The 22,491-nt window shown below is 38.8% G+C and overlaps 1 protein-coding gene and 1 long non-coding RNA gene across 5 annotated transcripts in view; one reads left to right on the top strand and one right to left on the bottom strand.

Annotated features, from left to right (window-relative positions):
• The window catches only part of RNF169 (ring finger protein 169), a 93,565-nt gene that overhangs the window by 36,945 nt on the left and 34,129 nt on the right, over positions 1 to 22,491 (bottom strand). For all 3 annotated transcript variants that reach the window (XM_011544889.4, NM_001098638.2, XM_047426707.1), the window contains exon 2: positions 15,770 to 15,843. In XM_011544889.4, the coding sequence (XP_011543191.1) occupies positions 15,770 to 15,843 (74 nt within the window). The remainder of the gene's footprint in view (positions 1 to 15,769; positions 15,844 to 22,491) is intronic.
• Positions 10,499 to 14,422, top strand: LOC124902715 (uncharacterized). Of its 2 annotated transcripts, XR_007062779.1 has the most exons (3): positions 10,499 to 10,629; positions 13,475 to 13,612; positions 14,178 to 14,422. It is a non-coding gene; the product is annotated as an uncharacterized LOC124902715 (long non-coding RNA). The 2 variants fall into 2 exon arrangements; XR_007062778.1 differs by lacking the exon at positions 10,499 to 10,629 and having other exon boundaries at positions 12,829 to 13,612.

The raw sequence follows: 22,491 nt of genomic DNA, 5'->3' as shown, positions 1-22,491 counted from the left end.
TGTCAAATGTATATATCCATGTAATCATTTCCCTAATCAAGATACAGAACATTTCTACCATCCCCAGAAAGTCCTTTTGAACCTATTAGCAATCAATCTCTCAAACCACTTAGCCCCAGGCTACCACTAATCTGATTACTATATTAGTTTTGCCTATTATAAAAATATACAGGATGTATTTCTTTGTGTCAAGTTTCATTCACTCTGCATGATACTTTTGAGACTAATTCATCCATGCTACTGAGTTTACTAATAAGACACTCCTTTATACGGATAAGATATAACCCATTCTATGAATAAACCACAATTTGCTTATCCACAAGTGTGGGACATTTGGGTTGTTATTTAGTTCTGGGCTATTTTGAATAAATCTACTATGGACATTCATGTCATTTTGTGGACAGGTGTTTTTGTTTTGGTTGGCTAAATAGCTACAAGTGGAATTGCTGCATCACACAGTTAAGTGTATGTTTAAATTTATAGAACAACAGCCAAAAGGTTTCCAATGGTGGTTATATTTTATACTCCTACTACTACTGCATGAAAGTGTATCTTATTTTGTGGAATTTGTTCAAACCTTTTGTCCTTTTTTTTAAACCTTACTAGTTAGATTAGCAAGAGTTCTTTATATATTCTGGATATAAGTCCATTGTTAGATACACATTTCTTAACGTCGTCCATAGGTTCTCAGAAACTGAAACTTCAAGCAAACAACGTATAATAAAACAGTTTTACCACAGGCTAACTGGTATAAAAGAGTTAAGTTCCTACAGCATATTTCTATTCACAAAAAAACACCAAACTTCTAAATAAAGACCCAACTACTTCTAATATTAAACACTGAGATAAATGAGAGCTACACATACATTTAAGAAAGATAAAAACAAGCAAGGTAATTACCCAATTTTTGGTGAATCAGTGAGTGATAGTGGTTGCAGTGGCGGTGGGTTAAATCAAAGAATACATGTTTGCAAAGAAAAACTCTAAAGAGCACCTCCTACCACCATGCAGTGCAAAAACATGACAGATATGACAGGCTCACCAAGCACTTTCGTACTGCATAGTTTATCGTTCTCCATTTGTATGAGTATCATACACTTCACAAATTGTTATTTTACAAAAATTTGTACTCATTTATTCACTCGTTTCCTAACCTATTTATTCCAGTTCAGGGTTACAGGTGACCAGAGCCTATCCTAGCAGCTCCGGGCATAAGATGGGAACCAACCCTTGACTGGACACCATTCCATCACAGGGCACACTCACACACATACCCACTCACTCAGACTAGGACAATGTAGACATGCCAATTCGCCTATCATGCACATCTTTGAGATGCGGGAGGAAACCAGAGTATCCAGAAAAAACCCACACAGATATGGGGAGAACGTGCAAACTCCATGCAGACAGTGGCCCTGGCTGAGAAGTGATTTTTTTTCTCTCATCAATGTCATAATGAAATGATGTTGAACAAAATAACATCACTGTTGAACAATGACCTGCTGTATATAGTATATGATATGGGTCCAATTTCATTCTCTCACTGTATTCTTAAATTCTCTTCATGCAAGGGCAGAAATGCCTGTACAATATTTACTGCCAATCCACATATCTTGAATAATGCTCATTTCCTCATGAAAAATTATTAATATTTATCTTCATAATTGTTTATCAACATAATTACTGAATCTAGGTGATGGATACATGGAGGTTCATTTTTATTATTCTTCCCAGTTTTATGTCTGTTGAATATTATAAAAACCAAAAATTCTGAGATCATTTATAACATCTGTTATGCTTGTTAACAAACCTCAGGTGCTGGGTGATGATTAAAATAATTGATGGGCTTATAGGAGCCTATGAAGTGAAAATTCTGATTATAATCTTTTAAACACTAAGTAACTACTCCAGAGTGTATATTCCCTGTTAGTACTTAAGATGTTAACTAGCCATCCTTGGAATGTAGACTAAAACATATATACATGCCACACTATTTCAAATAAGGCATTTTAAAATATATTTCATAACACCCAGAACATATCTCATATCTCTATCACAGACTTCTAATATAAATTACTTGTGTTTGGTTGGGCGCGGTGGCTCATACCTGTATCCCAACACTTTGGGAGGCCGAGGCAGGCAGATCACTAGGTCAGGAGATCGAGATCATCCTGGCTAACACGGTGAAACCCCGTCTCTACTAAAAATATAAAAAATTAGCCAGGCGTGGTGGTGGGCGCCTGTAGTTCCAGCTACTAGGGAGGCTGAGGCAGGAGAATAGCATGAACCCAGGAGGCGGAGCTTGCAGTGAGCAGACTGCACCACTGCACTCCAGCCTGGGTGACAAAGCAAGACTCTATCTCAAAAAAAAAAAAAGAAAATTAGCCTGGCATGGTGGTGGGCGCCTGTAGTCCCAGCTACTCAGGAGGCTGAGGCAGGAGAATGGTGTGAACCCGGGAGGCGGAGCTTGCGGTGAGCCGAGATTGCCCCAATGCACTCCAGCCTGGGCGACAGAGCAAGACTCCGTCCCCACCCCCCCCCAAAAAAAATTACTTGTGTTCAATTACTTGTTTTCAAATCCCTTTTCCCCCAGATACTGTGAGCTTTTTTTAATCAGCAACCTATGCATCCTTGATTTCCACTCCCCTACTTGAGTTCCAGATACAGGGTCTGTGTTCAATAAGCTCAGTTCCGCAAATATTTACAGTGCATCAGATTCTATATGTTAGGCAATTTTTTAGTGCTGAGACTATAGTCTTGACCAAAAATGACAAAGTTGCTCACAAGCAGAATGCTGTTGAAGTAAGATTGGACTGATTTTCTTTTGAGACAGAATCTCACTCTGTTGCCCAGGCTGGAGCACAATGGCATGATCTTGGCTCACTGCAACCTCCACCTCTCGGGTTCAAGCCAGTCTTGTGCCTCAGCCTCCCAAGTAGCTGGGATTACAGCTGTGCACCATCGCGCCTGGCTAATTTTTGTATTTTTAAAGACGAGGTTTTGCCATGTTGGCCAGTCTGGTCTCAAACTCCTGACCTCAGGTGATCCGCTTGCCTCGGCCTCCCAAAGTGCTGGAATTACAAGCGTGAGACACCACGCCCAGCCTGGACTAACTGATTTTTATAAAAGGTCCTTCCAACAAAGATATTTTTTGACACAAACCATACCTATTGTGGTGACTGTTCCATGCTTTGTGATGAACTACTGTACTCTCAATTCCACTGTAAAAGGTAACCAACCAGACAGTGCCATGGGTATAGGGCTTATAGGGGGCAGTGCTTCTCAATGGTACTTTAAAGACTAGAGCTTATATATCCATAATTTTCTGATTTTCTTATCTCAACTGGTTAAATGGACCACCATCCAATAATAGTATACTAAAGAAATAATTTGGGAGCGCTGTAGAACCATACAGTCTCACGGTGTTTAATTAATCTTTCTCCTGACAAGAGGTAACAGGTTTTTCCTTATAAAATAAAATGATGCACCTGAAACAGTAAATTATGAGTTATGAACATTTTACTCATGTTCTGGTTATCTCTGGGCCAACGGTTCTCAAACTGGGACCCTACATTCTAAGGGGGGTTTCACAAGCTAATAATGGGAATCTTTAAGTTAATTTTTAACGTATTTTTAAAAATCTAACAAATCAGACACTTATAGTCCATAAGGTTGTCTCTATTAAATATCATCCTCTTTGCTTTTTAGAGACAGAGTCTCACTATGTTGCCAAGGCTCCAGTGATCCTCCCACATCAGCCTCCCGAGTAGCCGGGATTATAGGTGTGCACCACTGTGCCTAGCTTAAGTATCACCATATTAATAAGTAGGCTGAATACATTTTTTGTTGATATCTAGAGCTTTTTCTTTAATAGAGCTATCAAAATACTTTAAATTCATATGGGGGTCATGAAAGGAATATAATACAAGCTGGTAAAAAAAGTTGGAGACCACTGCTTCAGAATCACTGATTCAGAACATAAACTAGTTAATCAAACTGGTGTCAGAACATTTCAGTTTACTTTGGTATCTAGAGCAATTGATGCTTTATATCCTCTGTTTCCTGGACTCTCACTTGGCACTAACAGCTACGGCTTCTATAGGGTCTGACTGGTGACTATTGCTGATGCTGTCCACAAAAACAATGTATTTGGGGTGAAAGGACTACTCTTAGCTCCTGTTTACAGCATCCTGAACTCACAGCAAACGATCTCTTGCATACAAGGCTAACGTGCATAAAAGCCATAACTTTTACTTGATAAACCACATAAATAGCACCAAAGCATCTGACTTGCTCTTATGATTCTTACCTAATTTTAAAGAAATCACATTTATGATACTATGTTCTCTTCACTTTAAATTCTAGACCACTTCCAAATTAAATGTTAGATTTAGAATTAAGCGTATCTAAATATTTATGCAAAAATAATATTTTACCAATTTTCTTCTTATGTAATAAGATATTTAAAATTACTTCAATACAGGTTTTAAATTATTACATGCATTTTGTAGATAGGCATATAAAATGAATTGCAGGCATCCAAGTTTACATATAAATTGAACCGGCAGATATATTATCAGTCACATGTTTAGCTGCCAAGCTGAAAGGCTGAATGAAGAGGGGGACACTTGCTTATGGGAAGCAGAAAGAGCTCTAAGTAATCAATTGTAAAAAGACAAAGACACACCTTCACTGTCCAAATTCAAGAAAATTGAGAATTAATTTGTGTTTCATATCAGTAACTTGCCAGCCTCCAACTATGACTTTTTGAGTTTTCCATTTCTTACCCAAAGGCAGCAAATAAATGGCAGCAACAGAAGGGATTACTTTGTGCTAGATTTTTTAGAATTCCAAATACTAAATATTAATAATACTTATATACAGTTTACTATGGACCAGGCACTATTTTACAATAACCCTATAAGCTTGGTACTATGATGTCTATTTTACAGACCAGAAAACTAAGACATGGAGAACTCAAATAGCTCGCCCAAATTCACACACTATTAAGTGGCAGAGCCAGGATTTGAACTCAAGTAGTCAGCTCTTAATCACACTACTGTTTCTCAGCTTAGGGTAAAATATCTACATCATCTGTATTATGATTTGTTGAACACCTGCATTTTTTAAAAAGTCTGCAATAAACAAAAAAGTTTACTCTCAAATGTAAACAGCAAATAAGACCTTAAACCCTGATTTGAATCTGGAAAAATATAACCAAGTTTGCAATTTTAGAGGAACAATCATCACTGAAAGCAGATTACTTGTGAGTTTTTAAACAAATTTGGCTAGAGATGGGTATTTTAAAAATCAGTTTATCTTATGGAATCTTTTTTACATATTATATTTTTAAAAGTTATTTCTGACTCTTGAATGGTTTTGGATTTAGGGAAAATATTGGCATATATGTGATATATTACAATATTTTCTATAATTCTATATAGCCATTAAAAATGTTGACATAGATCTATATTAATATGGAAAACTTCATACGAGATGCTAAATTTTAAAAGGGCAGTAAAAGTGGCATGCATAATGTGATCTAAAATCTATTTTTTAAAAAGTCTTAAGCTTAAATTTTTGATAAACATTTAAACATGTTTATTAAGTGGCAGGATTACTGGCGATTTTCCCTTTCTGCTTTAAAACTTTTTGATAACCTGAAGGTTTTTTCCCAATTAACAGAAATGCACAATTCTGCTTATGTTCATAAGCAGAAAAAAATAAAGCTATTCTAATTTATTAAAAGCTTCACTCATTACATATTTTAACAAAATATTTTATTTTATACTAGAGACAACAGTTGTAACAGCTTCTGGAAAATTCCTTAATTTGGCTTCCAAGTAGTAGTTAAGTGATTTTATTAATACTTAAACCATAAAAATAATTATACTAATATAGTAACCTTATAACTACTGATCCTGACCCTAAACAATAAGACGAGGAAAAACAGCACACTGCAGAAATAACCTGAGTAACCTGCTATTCTAATTGAATTTGATCGTGTTTTGAATGCTCCAAGTGTGTTCTTTTCTTTGAAAAGCACATTATTTGATAAAACTGTTTCTCCACATCTGGGTAGTTATAAATAGCAAAAGGAGACAACAACCATATCTAATGTTCTTGGATTCTGAACATCCTATAAATTAACTGTTCTTCCCTCATGTAGTTAAAATTTAAACATTCTATTGAGAATTTTTCCTTCTCCTTAATACCACACCTGTTACCTGTATATCTTAAAGATATACTATGAGATTCTATACTTATTTTCTGGTTCTAGAAAGAGATATGCTAGCACATGCTAAAAGTGGGCATTTCTTCAATTATATAACATTTCAAAAGAAAGAAGAAAAAATAGCAATAGTGTAGCAAAAAAAAAAAACCACTGGAAATCTTTTTTTTTTTTTCTTTTTTTGAGACGGGGTCTTGCTCTGTTGCTAAGGTGGGAGGGCAGGGATGCAATCACGACTCACTGCAGCCTCAACCTTCCAGGCTCAAGCAATCTCCCCAGCTCAGCCTCCTGAGTAGCTGAAACCACAAGCATGCACGACCATGCCCGGCTAATTTTTTAAAAAATTTTTTGTAGTGACGAGGTCTCACTACTATCAGGGAATCTGTCCCGATATTCATGTAGGTTCTTTTCCATTTTCCTTAAGCATCGGCCAGCTTGAGAAATAAAGGGACAGAGTACAAAAGAGAGAAATTTTAAAGATGGGCATCCAGGGGAAACATCACATGTCAGTAGGTTCCGTGATGCCCAAGCCGCAAAAACCAGCAAGTTTTTATTAGAGATTTTCAAAAGGGGAGGGAGTGTGTGAATAGGTGTGGGTGACAGACATCAAGTACTTAACAGGGTAATAGAATATCACAAGGCAAGTGGAGGCAGGGTGAGATTATAGGACCACAGGACCGAGGCGAAATTAAAATTGCTAATGAAGTTTCGGGTACCACTGTCATTGATAACATCTTATCAGGAGACAGGGTTTTGAGATCAACCGGTCTGATCAAAATTTATTAGGTGGGAATTTCCTCTTCCTAATAAGCCTGGGAGCGCTATGGGAGACTGAAGTCTATTGCATCTCTGCAGTCTCGACTATAAGAGATGACCACGCCCAGGGGGGCCAGTTCAGAGACCCACTCCCAGGTGGGTATTCTCTTTCTCAGGGATGTTCCGTGCTGAGAAAAAGAATTCAGCGATATTTTTCCCATTTGCTTTTGAAAGAAGAGAAATATGACTCTGTTCCACCCGGCTCACCAGTGGTCAGAGTTTAAGGTTATCTCTCGTTTCCTAAACATTGCTGTTATCTTGTTCTTTTTTTAGGGTGCCCAGATTTCATATTGTTTAAACACACATGCTCTACAACTTGTGCAGTTAATGCAATTATTACATGGTCCTGAGGCGACATACATCCTCCTCGGCTGACAGGATTAAGAGATTAAAGTAAAGACAGGCATGGGAAATCACAAGGGTATTGACTGGGGAAGTGATAAGTGTCCATGAAATCTTCGAAACTTATGTTTAGAGATTGCAGTAAAGACAGGCATAAGAAATTATAAAAGTATTAATTTGGGGAACTAATAAATGTCCGTAAAATCTTCACAATCCATGTTCTTCTGCCATGGCTTCAGCCGGTCCCTCCGTTTGGGGTCCCTGACTTCCCACAACACACTATATTGCCCAGGCTGGTCTCGAACTCCTGGGTTCAAATGATCCTTCTACCTCAGCCTCCGAAAGTGCTGGGATGTGAGCCACTGTGCCCAGCCAAATCCCCAGAAATCATAAAATATATCTAGCTGTATCATGAACCAGCCATATATACATCCTTCACAAGTCATTTCTAATAAGAGAAGGGGCTGTGAAACTAGATGATTAGAAATTCAATTAGATAAGTACTTGGTGAAGAGCTATGTGCAAGATATTATATTAGACACAGTGGAGTTAAAGAGACTAAAACAAACAGATCTATCTTGAAAGATTTATAATCGAATAAGAAAAAGCTTTTAAAAATAATCTGCTTGTTCTGTGGTATAACAACATATTTTAAACTTTCTAGATAAATAAAGCTACTTTTTAAATAAATAAATAAAAATAAGAAAAAGGCCAGCTCAACATTCAGTTCATGATACACTACACAGCCAAATGGATTTAAGTGCAATGTTCATTTTAATAAAGTACTTTATATTAATATTTTACAGTTCAAGGCAGTAAGTTAATAAAAGGAAACTTTAAAATGTAATTTCGAAGATAATTAGGTCCTAAAAGTTTACTTACCTTTAAAATATCCCTTCACAAGTTAATGACTGCCTTATAGAGCTACTAATCACTTCAGTAACCCATTGACTATATCTGACTAGTCTGTTCTCTGGCTAAGGACTAAAAAACTGCATGCTTACTACTTGAATAATTCAGCCCACAATGGGGAGAAAATACCCCTTGAAAATGAACCAGAAGGCCAGGGAAGGTGGTACGTGCCTGTAGCCCCACCTACTCAGCCAGCTGAGGCAGGAAGATTACTTGAGGCCAAGAGTTTCAGTCTGTAGTGTACACCTGTGAATAGCCAACGCATTCCAGCCTGGACAACATAGCAAGACCTCATTTACTTTTTTAAAAAGAGAACCAGAACGGAGGAAGAAAAAAAGAAAATGGATAGGTCGAGAAACCAATCCAAAGAAAGCCTAAGCCACTCATATGCTCCACAGAATAACTGAAAGCAGTTCACCTTTCCCAATGTAAAAACCAGGAAAATGAATAGTCTAGAAGCAAGGCTGCTTTTCCCCCACCTTCAATCTTTTCCCCCACCTTCAGTCTTTCAGAGTCCAATGATTCAAAGAAGACAAGACCATCCTGGATTATGTGTTTCCCAAATCAAAACAAAGCAACTATTATTGAACCATGAAGTCAAAGTTAAGCATCTAACAAGCAAAGCAGAAGAAATAATGGTGTATATAATAAGCTTAATTCAACCAATAAATAACATTTTTTAGAGATAAATCTATTTCAAAAGACAAAGATGGCTAAGTCTTATATAAACTGAAAACATTAAAAGATATCAATACTGAAGTAATATCTTCCTAGAATTTTTTCATTTCAACATGCATTAACTGCACATCCTTACATAACAAGAACCAATACTACAAAATCCTTTCCATTAAGATGTATATCCAGATGAAGGACTGAGCATGTGTTAATACTCTCCTTCCATTTAAAAACACCATAAAATGTCAGAAAACTTTTAATAGAATAAATATATAATAGAATGGAAAAACAACAACAAAAAAGCATGCCATTAGCAATCAAGATCACAAATACCCAAAAGATAGAACTGGTTTTCAGATTTAAGTCTTATAAACAAGAAATCACGGAAAACATACAAATGGTCGATTAACATAAATGCTACTGCTCTGTAGTAATCAAGGAAATGTAAATTAAAACAATGAGATATTTTAATCTAGCAGATAGTAAAATATCAAAACAATGAAAAAGGTTTGGCAAGGATTTGAGGAAAATGGACTCTATACTGTTGTCGAGAGAGTAAGTTGAAAAAGTCTTTTTAAAAGGCAATTTGTTAACATCCAACAAAACCATGTCTGCTTTATTTTTTATTTTTTTTGAGACAAGAGTCTTACTCTGTCACCCAGGATGGAGTGCAGTGATGCAATCACAGCTCACTTCAGTCTCGACCTCCTGGGCTCAAGCAATCCTCCTGCCTCAGCCTCCCGAGTAGCTAGGACTACAGGCATGTGCCACCATGTCCAACTAATTTATTTTTTGTAGAGATAGGGTCTCACTATATTGCTCAGGCTGGTCTCAAACTCCTGGGCTCAAGAGATCCTCCTGCCTCAGTCTCCCAAAGTGTTGGGATTATGGCCATGAGCCAATGTGCCCAGCCTCTTACCATTTCCCACTTTCACTTCTAAGAATTTAACTGAAGGGATTGTATTTGCCCACATATGTTTGTGGGTGCTCAGCACAGCATTCCTTTAAAACTGGGGGAAACGGGCTGGGCCTGTAATCCCAACACTTTAGGAGGCCCAGGAGGGAGGATTGCTTGAGCCCAGAGGTTCAAGTCCAGCCTGGGCAACACACTGGGCATGGTGGCATGTGCCTGTAATCTCAGCTACTTGGGAGGCTAAGGTGGGAGGATCACTTGAGCCCAGGAGACAAAGGCTACAGTGAGCTGAGATCACACTACTGCACTCCGGCCTGGGTGATAGAGTGAGACCCTGTCTCAAAAAAAAAAAAAAAAAAGAGTATCTACATTAAAAACATACACACCACCCCCCCACCCAAAAAAATATGCTGTTCAGTGGAAAAAGGAAGTCACCAAATAGATTGTATTATTTCTCAAAAATCCTTCCTTCCGGCCAAGCGTGGTGGCTCACACCTGTTATCCTGACACTTTGGGAGGAAGAGGCAGGAGGATTGTTTGAGCCCAGCAGTTCAAGACCAGCCTGGACAACACAGCAAGACCCTCATCTCTACAGAAATAAAAACTTTTCAAGTATCCAGTCATGGTGGTGTGCTCCTATACTTTCAGCTACTCAGGAAGCTGAGGCAAGTGGATCACTTAAGAGCCCAGGATCCAAGAGTGCAATGAGCTACGATTCCAACACTGCACTCCAGGCTGGGTAAGAGAGAGAGAATATCTCTCTTCAAACAAACAACCTAGCTTCTCTGAAGTATTTAGCCTTAGACTATAACACTCATGACCCCTCTCTGTCACTCTCCTTCATTCACAGAAAAACTTGGCACTTAAATTTTAATTTCTCTCCAACTACTCCAGTGATCATTCCTGAAGGTCTCAATATTGGCATACTCTCTCAGTTCCTTCACCTCCTCCTTAAATACATCTTTTTCTCCATCCTATTTCAGCTATCTACTCCATGGTCATACCCTAAACTTTGTGATATCCATAACTAAACTATCTCCCAAGGCTCACATTTAAGCCTTTTATATTGAGACCACCACTTCCTAGCTTTCCAGCTTTATTTATATATGCTAGCAATCCTACTTTTACAATTTTCACCATCAAAGTTTCCGATCCATTGACCCTACAACTAACTCTTTCACTATCACATCCTTCATGTCCTCAATTTTCCCCTTAACCTAGATCCATCATCCAAAACTGTAACAACTTCCTTGTATACACCTCCAAGTGCATCTACTGCATCTCTCCATCACACTTCTGACAAAATCCCAAGCCCAATTAAACCCAACATATTGCTTACTCTCAAAGTGTCCTAACTAGTCTTATTGCCATTGTTGTCCCAGGAGACAGAGGCAGCTAGTTGCCAATCCAATATCCATTTTCTCCTTCCTTACTAAGAGAACCCTGATTTTACTTAGAAAGTTAATGTTCCTAGCTAAAACACTATGCTTTCCAGCCTCCCTAGTAGCTAGAGGAGTCTGTGATATCCCCAGTGCCTAGCACATACTAGGGGCACAATAAATATTTCATTAACCAATGAATATATATATATCATGATCTCATTTATACAGAAGACTAAAGTGTTTATGTATGTGTCTGCATGCATAAGTAAGCATATAAGGGGTCTAAGATAAACACTAAACTATTGATTCTAGGTACTTCTGGGAAGGACAGTGGGAAGAAAGGTAAAAAGGGACTTTCATATTTTGCTCTAATCATTTTTGCGTTATTTTTCTTATGTTAAAAAAAGACAACTAACTACAACACATGCAGAAAGAAAAAAATCTAAATATATTTAGAAATATAAGCTTATTCACAGAATGATAAAATTTAGAAACTCATAGTGACCTCAGTAAGCATACCAACTCAAAAGCCTCTGGCTAGAAAGGATGTTAAGAACACAGCTCCCTGTCCTTAGTAGGCCCCTCAGTCTTGGTTCAGTACTGTTCTACAGTAGTCCCTTACCCCAGCCTGGTGTGTTCCCAAATCTCCCACAGGTAATAGAATCTAGGATTTTTAAATAAAGTAATACCTTTTAAAAGAACTAGAATTAGAGGAATAAAAATTCTTGTTAACTTTTTACAGCCTTTATAGAGGTTTTTACTGTCACTTAAAGTAATAGAGTATACTAAGTGAAAAGTATATTAGTAGCATATCACACATCAAATTAGTAATAATGAGTTGTGTAGAATTAATTTCCACTTATCTTCCTTTGCTCAGTAGAAACTTTTGAAGATCTACTGAGATCTGTTTTAGAAATCACTATATCACTTCAATAAAATCCTTCATTCCCATTTACTGCTAATCCCTGTTCCCATACCCTATCCCAATCGACCACTAATCTACTATCTGTCACTACTATTTGTCTATTCTGGCCATTTTCTATAAATGGAATCACAACATATAATCTCTTAGATCTGGCTTCTTTCACTTACCATCTTTTTGAGGTTCACCCATGTGGTAGCATGTATCAGTGGTTCACTCCTTTTTATTGCTGAATAGTATGCCATTGTATGGATATGCCATACTAGTGCCTTTTAATGTTATGGCTTAGACTTCCATTTTCCAGGTTGTACAATGGATGTAGGATAACTTGGGTACTTGGGGTGGGTGAGATGGACCGGTAGCTAACTTTTATTTAAGCCAAATGATATAGATGAGTGTTTCTCAAATCCAATCCAGTTTATACACAATGAGATTATCCTAGCTTCACTCAAAAACATTATGGCATCAGCCCCTTTTAAAACCACTGTCCCATACCTCTCCTCTAACAGGAACACAAATGACAGTTCCTCAAGGTTTCCTTCTCTCTCCCAAGGTTTATAAAAACCCCTACTCTTGCCAGGCATGGTGGCTCACACCTGTAATCCCAGCACTTTGGGAGGCAGAGGCAGGTGAATCACGAAGTCAGGAGTTCGAGACCAGCCTGGCCAACATAATGAAACCCCCTCTCTACTCACAAATACAAAATTTAGCTGGGCATGGTGGCACACGCCTGTAGTCCCAGCTACTTGGGAGGCTGAGGCAGGAGAATCACTTGAACCTAGGAGGCAGAGGTTGTGGTGAGCCAAGACTGCACCGCTGCACTCCAGCCTGGGCAACAGAGCAAGACTCCGTTTCAAAAAAAAAAGAAACCCTACTCTTACTATGTCTTTTGCTTCACCTCCTTTTTCTACCTCCTACTCCTTGTTTTCTCTAAGATTACCTTCCAGCTGATAGCTTCAAAATTTCCACATTTTCAAAATGTCTAAAAAGATCTATTAGAAGTAAATATTGTATGTGTACATTCTGAAATTTTATTTAAGAACCTGTTCTTTTTATGTGGTCCCTGAAAATAATTTTTCAACAGAAAAAAAAACTTTGTAAGTAGTTTTAAAAGAGACAAAAACCTCACAATGCCAATATAAATGAAGCACGAAGATTCAGGTCAACATCTGACACCCTCATTTACAAGCAAAGATCAGAGAATATATAGTAACTAGCCACAGTTTCCTATGATCTTTTCTCTTTAATGTGACCTTGTTAAACACTGATTTTTCATTCAGTGAAATATACCACAACAGTGATGGCAGCAGCAGCCTGCCTGGAGTGGGCACTGTGAAGATGCCAGCTGCAGTGGGAAAGGCACAGCTGGGGCTGTACGCTCCACGGAGCCGGCAGGTGTCAGCTGGAGCCAGGAACAGGTAGGAGCCATGCCCTCTTACAAGTTGAAGAGGTGGGATCCCTCCCATGCTGGGTGTAGCTGTAGCCACCCAGCCATGGCTACAGGCATCCCTGTGCTCTTGGGGGCCCAGGATGCGCCCCTACCTCCATCCCCCACTCTCACAGGCTCGGAAGTGCCTGCTCCCACTGCCTGGCCTCTTCCCACTCCCAGCACCCATGCCGATTTCAAAGGAAAGTTGTGACCAAGGGAGGCACTGTCACTACCCAGCTGGGTGAGAGCAGACTCATGGTGATGCTGACATGGCAGCGCCCTGCCACCTCGGCCCCCTCCAGACTTTGGGCACCCCAGAGGACAGGAGGAAGGCTGTGGGGGTGCTGAGAGCAGCTTGGCACAGGCCTGCAGGTGCCCCATGGCACAGCCCGGGCACTGTGGGTACTGTACAGGGCAGGTTGATGGTGACAGGAAGTAGACAGGCTCCTGGGCAGAAAGGGGCAGATCCACCTTCAAGCTGGGGATGACCTGAAGCCAGGGGCTGGGCTGCCAGTTCTGCAGACTGGAGTGAGAACTTACAGTGCTTTTTCCAGGCCTGCCCATGGACCAATCAGTATGCACTTCCTCCCCTCTGAAGCCCATAAAAGCCCTGGACTCAGCCAGACTCCGGCAGACATGGGGATGACCTGCCTGTGTAGGGGAGCTACCCACTGTGGATCTCCTCTCAGCTGAGAGCTGAGTAGATGTCCGGACGACCTGCCTGTGGAAAGCAGCTACCCACTTCAGTCTCTTGAGAGCTGTACTGTCACTCAATAAAGCTTCTCTTCGCTGTACTCACCCTCCAGTTGTCCACGTACCTCTTTCTTTCTGGACACAGGACAAGAACTTGGGACCCGCCGAATGGCAGGACAGAAACAGCTATAACACAAACGGCTGAAACACGTCCCTCACTCACCATGTTGTGGGCAACAAGAAAAGAGAGAAGAGCTGCAGCCCTTCAGGGAGCCCAGACTGAGGTGCTCCCAAGCCAGGGCTGTGACACCCTCTTTGGGGCTATGCAGTTCCTGGCATCTCCAAGCTTCCAGTCACTACCACGTTCCCCAGTGCCAGCAGTGGAAGCCACTTGCAGTAGTCCTGGTCCAGCCACAGCCTCACAGGAGCCAGTGCCCATGCCAGCACCTGGAGCTCCCCACCCAGCCACAGCAAGGCACAGCAGCTGGACCCCATGCTCCCTTGCTCACACACCCCTCCCCTCTGCACCTGGCTCGCCTTTAGCAGGTGTGAGATCCAGGCTGGTAGTGCGAGCTGAGCACAGCCTGCCAGGATAAGTGGGCAGAATGAGCCCAGCAGGCCCAAGCAAAACTTGGGCAAAGGCACCACCAGCCACAGAGGTTTCCAGCTGGCAAAGCGACACCCCAAGGATCCTGTGACAATAGCATTATTGTTTCACCTCTATCTTATGATGATGCTTGATCCAGATTAAGTGGATCACTTACATTTATAAAATATTAGATGCCCATATGTAGAATGATTAATCAATTATAAAGCTGAGTGAGGAATGATGGTGCAGGGAGAGGGCTGGGAAAGAATGACACTATCTAGCAACATACTTCTTATTACCAGCCTTTTTTAAGTCTTAATTCTCTAGGTGATTCCCAGACAATTAGTTTGAAAACATCATAAATAAGATGATATGGACACAGATAAAAGCTTTCCCAATGGTAATTGTTTTCTAACTAGGAAATTATTTCACTATCTCCTTACTGACCTACAAGACAGTTCTTTTGGAGTATTTAATGGAGTGAGCAATAATGGATAACACCAGCTACATGTAATTAGAAGAAACTTGTGAGATAAAGAAAAATAATACAAGCAATTATTAGCAAGGGCACCTGTTAAAAGTACCAAGAATACTTCTCTGGTGGCCAGTTACTGCAGCTGGCATGTGACAGGCTCTGTGAACTACGTCTTCATCTTTGAAAAGACAACTAAAAAGGGAATCTTGGGTTAAGGTTTGCTCTGCTGCCATTATAGCTCCAAATCTAACTAGGCTGGTATAAGGCAGTGTGAAGAAAGGCTCTGCATTATAAATTTTTTAAAACCTGGTCAAAACTCCCACTAAGCATTCTTTAATGTCATTATTTCAATCTACTTTAAGAAAATGAATGACATGATAATACTATACCTTTCTCAAGCTTTCATATTCCTCACGAAGTTCCCCAGGCTTGCTTAATTTGATTGGTGCTCTGAATATAAAGTCTGAAAGAAAGGGAAAAGAAAATACTTTTTAAGATGACTTTCTAGGAAGACCCACAGGAGGCACAATACATGTGGGTTATATAAATAGATGATAAAAATCAAAGCTAAGAACAGAATAAACGCTAAGTCTTAAATACTATCAAAAAGGTAGAGGAAAGTATACACTTCTGTCTCCTTCTGACACTTCTTTATACCCTCAATGTATATTTGGTGGTCTAAATATATATTAATTTTTAAGACTTACTAATAAATCTACATCCCACTGAGGTTGATAAATGCTTGTTATAGAAAATAGTCTCCCCAAAAAGTTGCCTTTTGTCCTTTTTCAGTTGTCTCAACTATCTTATTTTTTTCCCTGCATTTCCCTCACAGAGGAATCAACTATTTTAGAAAGACTCTTAATTAATATACTGAGTAAGGTAGAAGATATTTAGATAGAAACACTGGACCTAAGGCAAATATAGAAAACAGTAACATAAACCTTTTCCAACCACTACGGAATTGTTAGACCCTAGGTTTGGAAGGCAAACATTCCATCACCTTCACCCACTTGATAAGGTAGGTATTATGCCCATTTTACAATAAGAAAACTGAAGGATTAAATGACTTAGCCCAAGGTTACAGAGCTAGTGCATGGCGAAGCAGGGAGAAAAGCTTTAACAGGAATCAAGAAGGAAATACATAATGATTAAAAAGGCAACCCATCTAGAGTTGAGCCCACTCTCTCCCCTTTTACAAACCCCATTATAGTGGCCCTCCTTGAATAAAGTCTTCCTTACTATCTTTTTTTAAAACAAGAGCAACCCATCAAGAAGATGTAACAATAAAACCTGTATGAACCTACAACACAGCAAAAATTAATAAGGCTATATGGAGAAATTAATCAAAAATTAATGTAAGAAATTTTTTAACACACTGCAATTAAAAACAGATAGATCAGGCCAGGCACACACCTGTAATCCAAGCACTTCGTGAGGCCAAGGCAGGCAGATCACTTGAGGCCAGGAGTTCAAAACCAGCCTGGTCAACGTGGTGAAACCCCATCTCTACTAAAAATACAAAAAAATTAGCTGGGTGTGGTGGTGGGCACCTGTAATCCCAGCTACCCGAGAGGCTGAGGCAGGACAATCACTTGAACCCAGGAGGCAGAAGTTGCAGTGAGTCGAGATCATGCCACTGTACTCCAGCCTGGGTGAGAGAGTGAGACTCTGTTTCAAAAACAAAAATCAAAACAAAATGGATCGGGCAGACCAAAAGGTGGCAAAAATACAGAAAAATTGAACAATAAAATTAATGTGGTCGTGTGTGTGTGTGTGTGTGTGTTTATGTTTATGTATATATAAACCCCCAATGAATAGAATACATATCTCTTAAGGCAAACAATTTAAAATATTGATGATACATTAGGTCATAAAGATGCTTCAAAAAATTTCAAAGAATTTGTATTACACAGACTTTGCTCTTTGATCCTGGATGCCATTTTCCAAGCCTAGTTTTCTACCTACCAAGGTGGTAATTTTGGGCTAATATTCTTTTTCAATAAATTCCTTTTCTGATTAAATTTGCCAGAGTAGATTTCTGTCGATTGCAACTAACAACCCTAGCTGATTCAATTTTTTACATGGTACCTTGAAATAACCAATAAATCAGTCTCTAGTAAAACTGATTAAGAAAAAAAAGAGAGAAGATAAAATTATATTAAGAATAAAAAGTTCTAAATACAGGCAACAAGGTGAGTTTAAATCTCCAGAGACTATTGAAAGAATGCTGTAATGAATATCTTGCATATATATCATTTTACATGTCTGCAGATGTACCCATAGGATAAATTGCTAGAATCAGAACCCCTGGGTCAAAGGATACATGCTTTTTGAGAGGAACACCAAATTGCCCCTCTGTCATGAAGCCTATATCAATTTATAGTCCCGCCAGCAATGCATGGGAGTGCCATTTCCTCACACCTCTTTTTCACTTTTTTTAGAGATGAGGTCTCACAGTGTTGCCCAGGAGGGAGTGCAGTGGCTATTCACAGGCATAATCATAGTGACCTATGGCCTCAAACTCCCAGCCTCAAGAGATCCCTCTGCCTTAAGCCTCCCAAGAAGCCGATCTACTCACATCTTTTCCAACACCATGAGTGCTGAAACCTTTTCGCTTTGCTAATCTAACAGATGAAATTTTGCATTTTATATGCTTATATTTTATGAGTGAAATTGAGTGTTTTTATATGGTTAAGAGTAATTTGCATTTCCTTTGATATGAAATGCATATGCATTTCCTTACTCCTACTTGTATTAACTTTTTCTTCTTGATTTGTTAAGAAAAATTAGCTTTATGTTACATGACTAGCAATACTCTTCCCGGTGTATCAATTGTGTTGACTTTGTTTATAGTGGTTATTTTTATGTAGTTATATTAATCAAACTTTTCTTTTATGGCTTCTGCGTTTTTTATTATGTTTGGAAAGACTTTCCTTTAGGCCAAGATACAATAACAAATTCCATCATATTTTCTTCTGGTAGAATGCATAAGATTCTTCTCAGATCTGCTTTTTAAAAATTCTAAATCTTTATTTTTATTTGAGAAGCAACATAAGGAGCATAATCTTATTCAGGCTTATAAATAAGTATACTATCCAACACAAGAAACCAAAAATATTTTAGCAATAGCCTGGTAGAAATGGTAATTTTCACTTACTGTTGGAGAATTTGCTTTCTCCAAAATACTTCACTGATATTTAGTACAAAATGTTTCAAGAGCTTAACATTTTCATTTTTTACACAGTAAGCCTGATCCCCAACTTAGAAGGTTGAGAGCCTTGGATAAGTCAGTCTCAACTTCCTCTTCTGTAAAATCAGAATACCCATCATCACAGGTTATTATAAGGATCAGATGAGTGCAATATGAGTAAAAACACTTTGCAAACTATTTTAGCCAGTAGAGTGGCATGCAGCAGAATTTACTGAGTATAAAATTGTCTCTGGTACTGGTGGGACAGCATTCTTTAAATTGTGGTTTGGTTCAATTTACTTGCAGGTACAATCTATAAGAAACAAAGATAATCTCCAGGAGTGGTGGCTCATGCCTATAATTCCAGCAATTTGGGAGGCTAAGGTGAGAGGATCTCTTGAGGTCAAATGTTCGAGACCAGCCTGAGCAACACAGACAGACCTCATCTCTGCAAAAAACAAACAAACAAAAATTAAACAAAAAAACCCCCCAACAATTAGCAGGGCATGATGGTGCACACCTATAGTCCCAGCTACTCAGGAGGCTGTGGCAGAAGGACTGCTCGAGCCCAGGAGTTTGAGGCTGTACTGAGCCATGATTGTGCCTAGGCAACAGAGCAAGACTTCAACTCTTAAAAAAAAAAAAAAAAAAGAAACAGGCCAGGCACAGTGGCTCACGCCTGTAATCCCAGCACTTTGGGAGGCCAAGACAGGCAGATCACAAGGTCAGGAGATCAAGACCATCCTGGCTAACATGGTGAAACCCCGTCTCTCCTAAAAATACAAAAATTAGCCAGGTGTGGTGACAGGTGCCTGTAGTCCCAGCTACTTGGGAGGCTGAGACAGGAGAATGGTGTGAACCTGGGAGGCAGAGCTTGCAGTGAGCTGAGATCGTGCCACTGCACTCCAGCCTGGGGACAGAACAAGACTCTGTCTCAAAAAAAAAAAAAAAAAAGAAAAGAAAACAAAGATAATGTTCCAACTACTTTGATACATATATTACATGAAAAGTTAAATTCACTTTGGGATATTAAGAAATCTCAAAGTTCATATAAGACCAAGGAGGAACTCAGCATAATGACTGAAATCTTACTATGCCTCTGGCTTGTTTGACTGCAAAAGGTGATGTGCAGGGGTAGAGGTAGGGTACTAATTTACAGTCACCAAAATTAGTACTGATATTAATCAGTTTAGTTGGATTAAGATGAACAATGTTTAATGCTTTAAGGATCATTTTTTGCCCCAACAGGACTGTGCTATATTAAATGACACCGTGCCCAAAAGCTCAAAAATTACATAGAAAGTAAAGTACTTCTTGAATACTAAAACAGTTAAGCATAAAAGGTTGTGAATTGGTCCAAAGTGATATTAACTTAAACATTTAATCCTACGTTCTATCTTAGCTGTACCCTCTAAAAATGCTAAGAAGGAAAAAAAAAATCCTCACTTTTTTTTTGTGGGCTTGCAAAAAGAACGTAACATTAGGTTCAGATACCTGCTCTGTCAATTAAGCGAGAGTATTTAGAAATGTCAAAACTTGAATGATGGAGCCTTGGGAAATTTTATATATAATATATATAACATATATATATATCTCTAATATATATAACATATATATATCTAATATATATAACATATATATCTAACATATATAACATATATATAATATATATAACATATATATATCATATATATATATCATATATATATCATATATATATATCATATATATATATATAAAAATACATGTTGAAGCTTCTCTTTGCCTTAGTCTTCCTGTCTATCAAATGGGGATCAAAATACCGGCCAAGCTACCTCATAGGAATGCGGAAGAGCACAATTAAAAGTAACAGTAGTAGTAACCAATGAAGAATCCCCATAATAAATAAGTAAAAACAGCTAACGTTTAATGAAAAGCACACTCTATGCTAAATGTTGCATGCATGCATATGCACAAGTGCACACATGTACACGTACACATACACAGCAAAGAGTTGACACAGCAGGCCTGTCTATCCTTTTCTTTCTTTCTAACACATCAGTGGGAGAAGATGTCTATCCTTAAAAAGGCCTGCTTCCAAGGCTTGCCCTTGGCTGGTGCCTAGAAACTTGGATGTTAGGAGGGTTCCCACCCTCCTTAACTGATGAGTTGTTCACTGTACCTAAACTACAGAAACAATATAATTATGCCAAACATCTGCTTTCCTGCGGGGAATCTGAAATTCTAGCACATGCTAGGTAGAGGGTGCCTATGTGATCAGCTAATATAAACCCCAATCACTAAGTCTCTAACGAGTTTCCCTGGTTGAGAACATTTCATACGTTGTCACAACTCCTCGCTAGGGTATTAAGCACACCTTGTGTGCCTCCACTGAGAGAGGACTTCAGAAGCTTGTGATGGGTTTTCCCCAGACTTTGTCCCACACACCTTCTCCCTCTACTGATTTTGCTCGGTGTCTTTTCACTGTAATAAATCACAGCACAGAATACAACTACGTATTGAGTCCTTTAAGTCCCCCTAGCAAATCAGTGAACCTGTGGGTGGTCTTGGAGACCTCCCAACACACACATACAACACATGTCATGAACTGAAAATCTCTTTAGATCATAGTTTCAATCTCAGAAATGAAGGCAACACATCAGATAACTTCTAAAGTTAGTGATTCAGTAACAATACTTTGATTTCACTTTTATTTCCTACTCAATATGTTTCTCTAAATTTTTTAAATCTCCATTAAAGTATAATATTATAGGTAAAATGCTATTAGGATTTCAAACTTAATATTAAGAGTATGTATAACATCAAAATAATTTATTTGAAGCCTTGTGAAATGTGGTGTTTCAATCTACCTGGACTATTATGAGAAAGGAACCAGGAAAAGGCCAGAAAAATGAAGATCTCCCCCTTTTAAATCAAAGTCTCATAACATCTCTTAAAGATGAATGGAGAACATGTATGCATTCAACAGTATCAATTATGCCAAGACAGTTATTATGAACCTTTCAGTTTCCCAGATTTTTAATAAAGAACAATCACATACAATAAAACAATTGTTACTGCTGATGTGAGACTTTACTTTTCTTAATTTTCTCTTTACTTCCCTTTCCTTCCTGGGGTCACATGTCAGCTTCCTCCACCCGAAAAGAGGAAATTGTGGGTGAAATGAAAGCAATACTACCCCACCACAAAGCAGAGCAACAAGATGTCAAGTCAGAACCAGGAAAGGCAACATCATCTTCCTCAGTCCAGAGGAGTTAGTCACAAAGCTACCAATCCTTCTACCAGCTTTTACAGGGATTTTTAAGTGTTTAGTAGCACTGAAGCAATAACTCACCCTTCCTTCACCTCACAGAACAGAAATGCTGGAAACTACTTCAGGTGTCACTGAGATACTGAATATCTTAGCATTCATAAATGAATCTAATGGTTGAAGTACTTTCTTAATGCCTATCCTTTGACTATTACTATACTTAACAGGAAGAGCAACGCTCTAAGGATATGATGCCTTAAGAATGACATGCACCTGTGGCCAGTGACCTAAAATGAATCTTATGTGAATTACAGGAACAGCTATAGTTCCCTGAAGATCCTTCCTGAAAAAGGATTTTCTCTCAGCCAGAGTGATTGCTTATTAATAAAGGCAAAAAAAAAAACAAAACAAACTACAAGATAGGCATGTTGCTAATTGCATTAAACCATCAGGAATGAAGTGTCATTGCCAAAGCATCCACACTCAATGCAAAATTTAAAAAAGAACCTCACTCAACTGTGATGGGAAGATGCTATCCCAAAAACTCAAATCCAAAGGAAAGCATCCCTTGGTACCTGAGTATGCGTGAGTTTTTACCCCTGTACATTCATTTTCTATGAGTGCAGCAGAATGAAAAAGAATTTTGGACTTACTGAGTCCCAAGACCA

Source organism: Homo sapiens, chromosome 11, assembly GCF_000001405.40.
Source record: "Homo sapiens chromosome 11, GRCh38.p14 Primary Assembly".
Lineage (NCBI taxonomy): Eukaryota > Metazoa > Chordata > Mammalia > Primates > Hominidae > Homo > Homo sapiens.
Note: the sequence above shows the minus strand (reverse complement) of the source record. Positions and strands in the feature narration are given on the sequence as shown.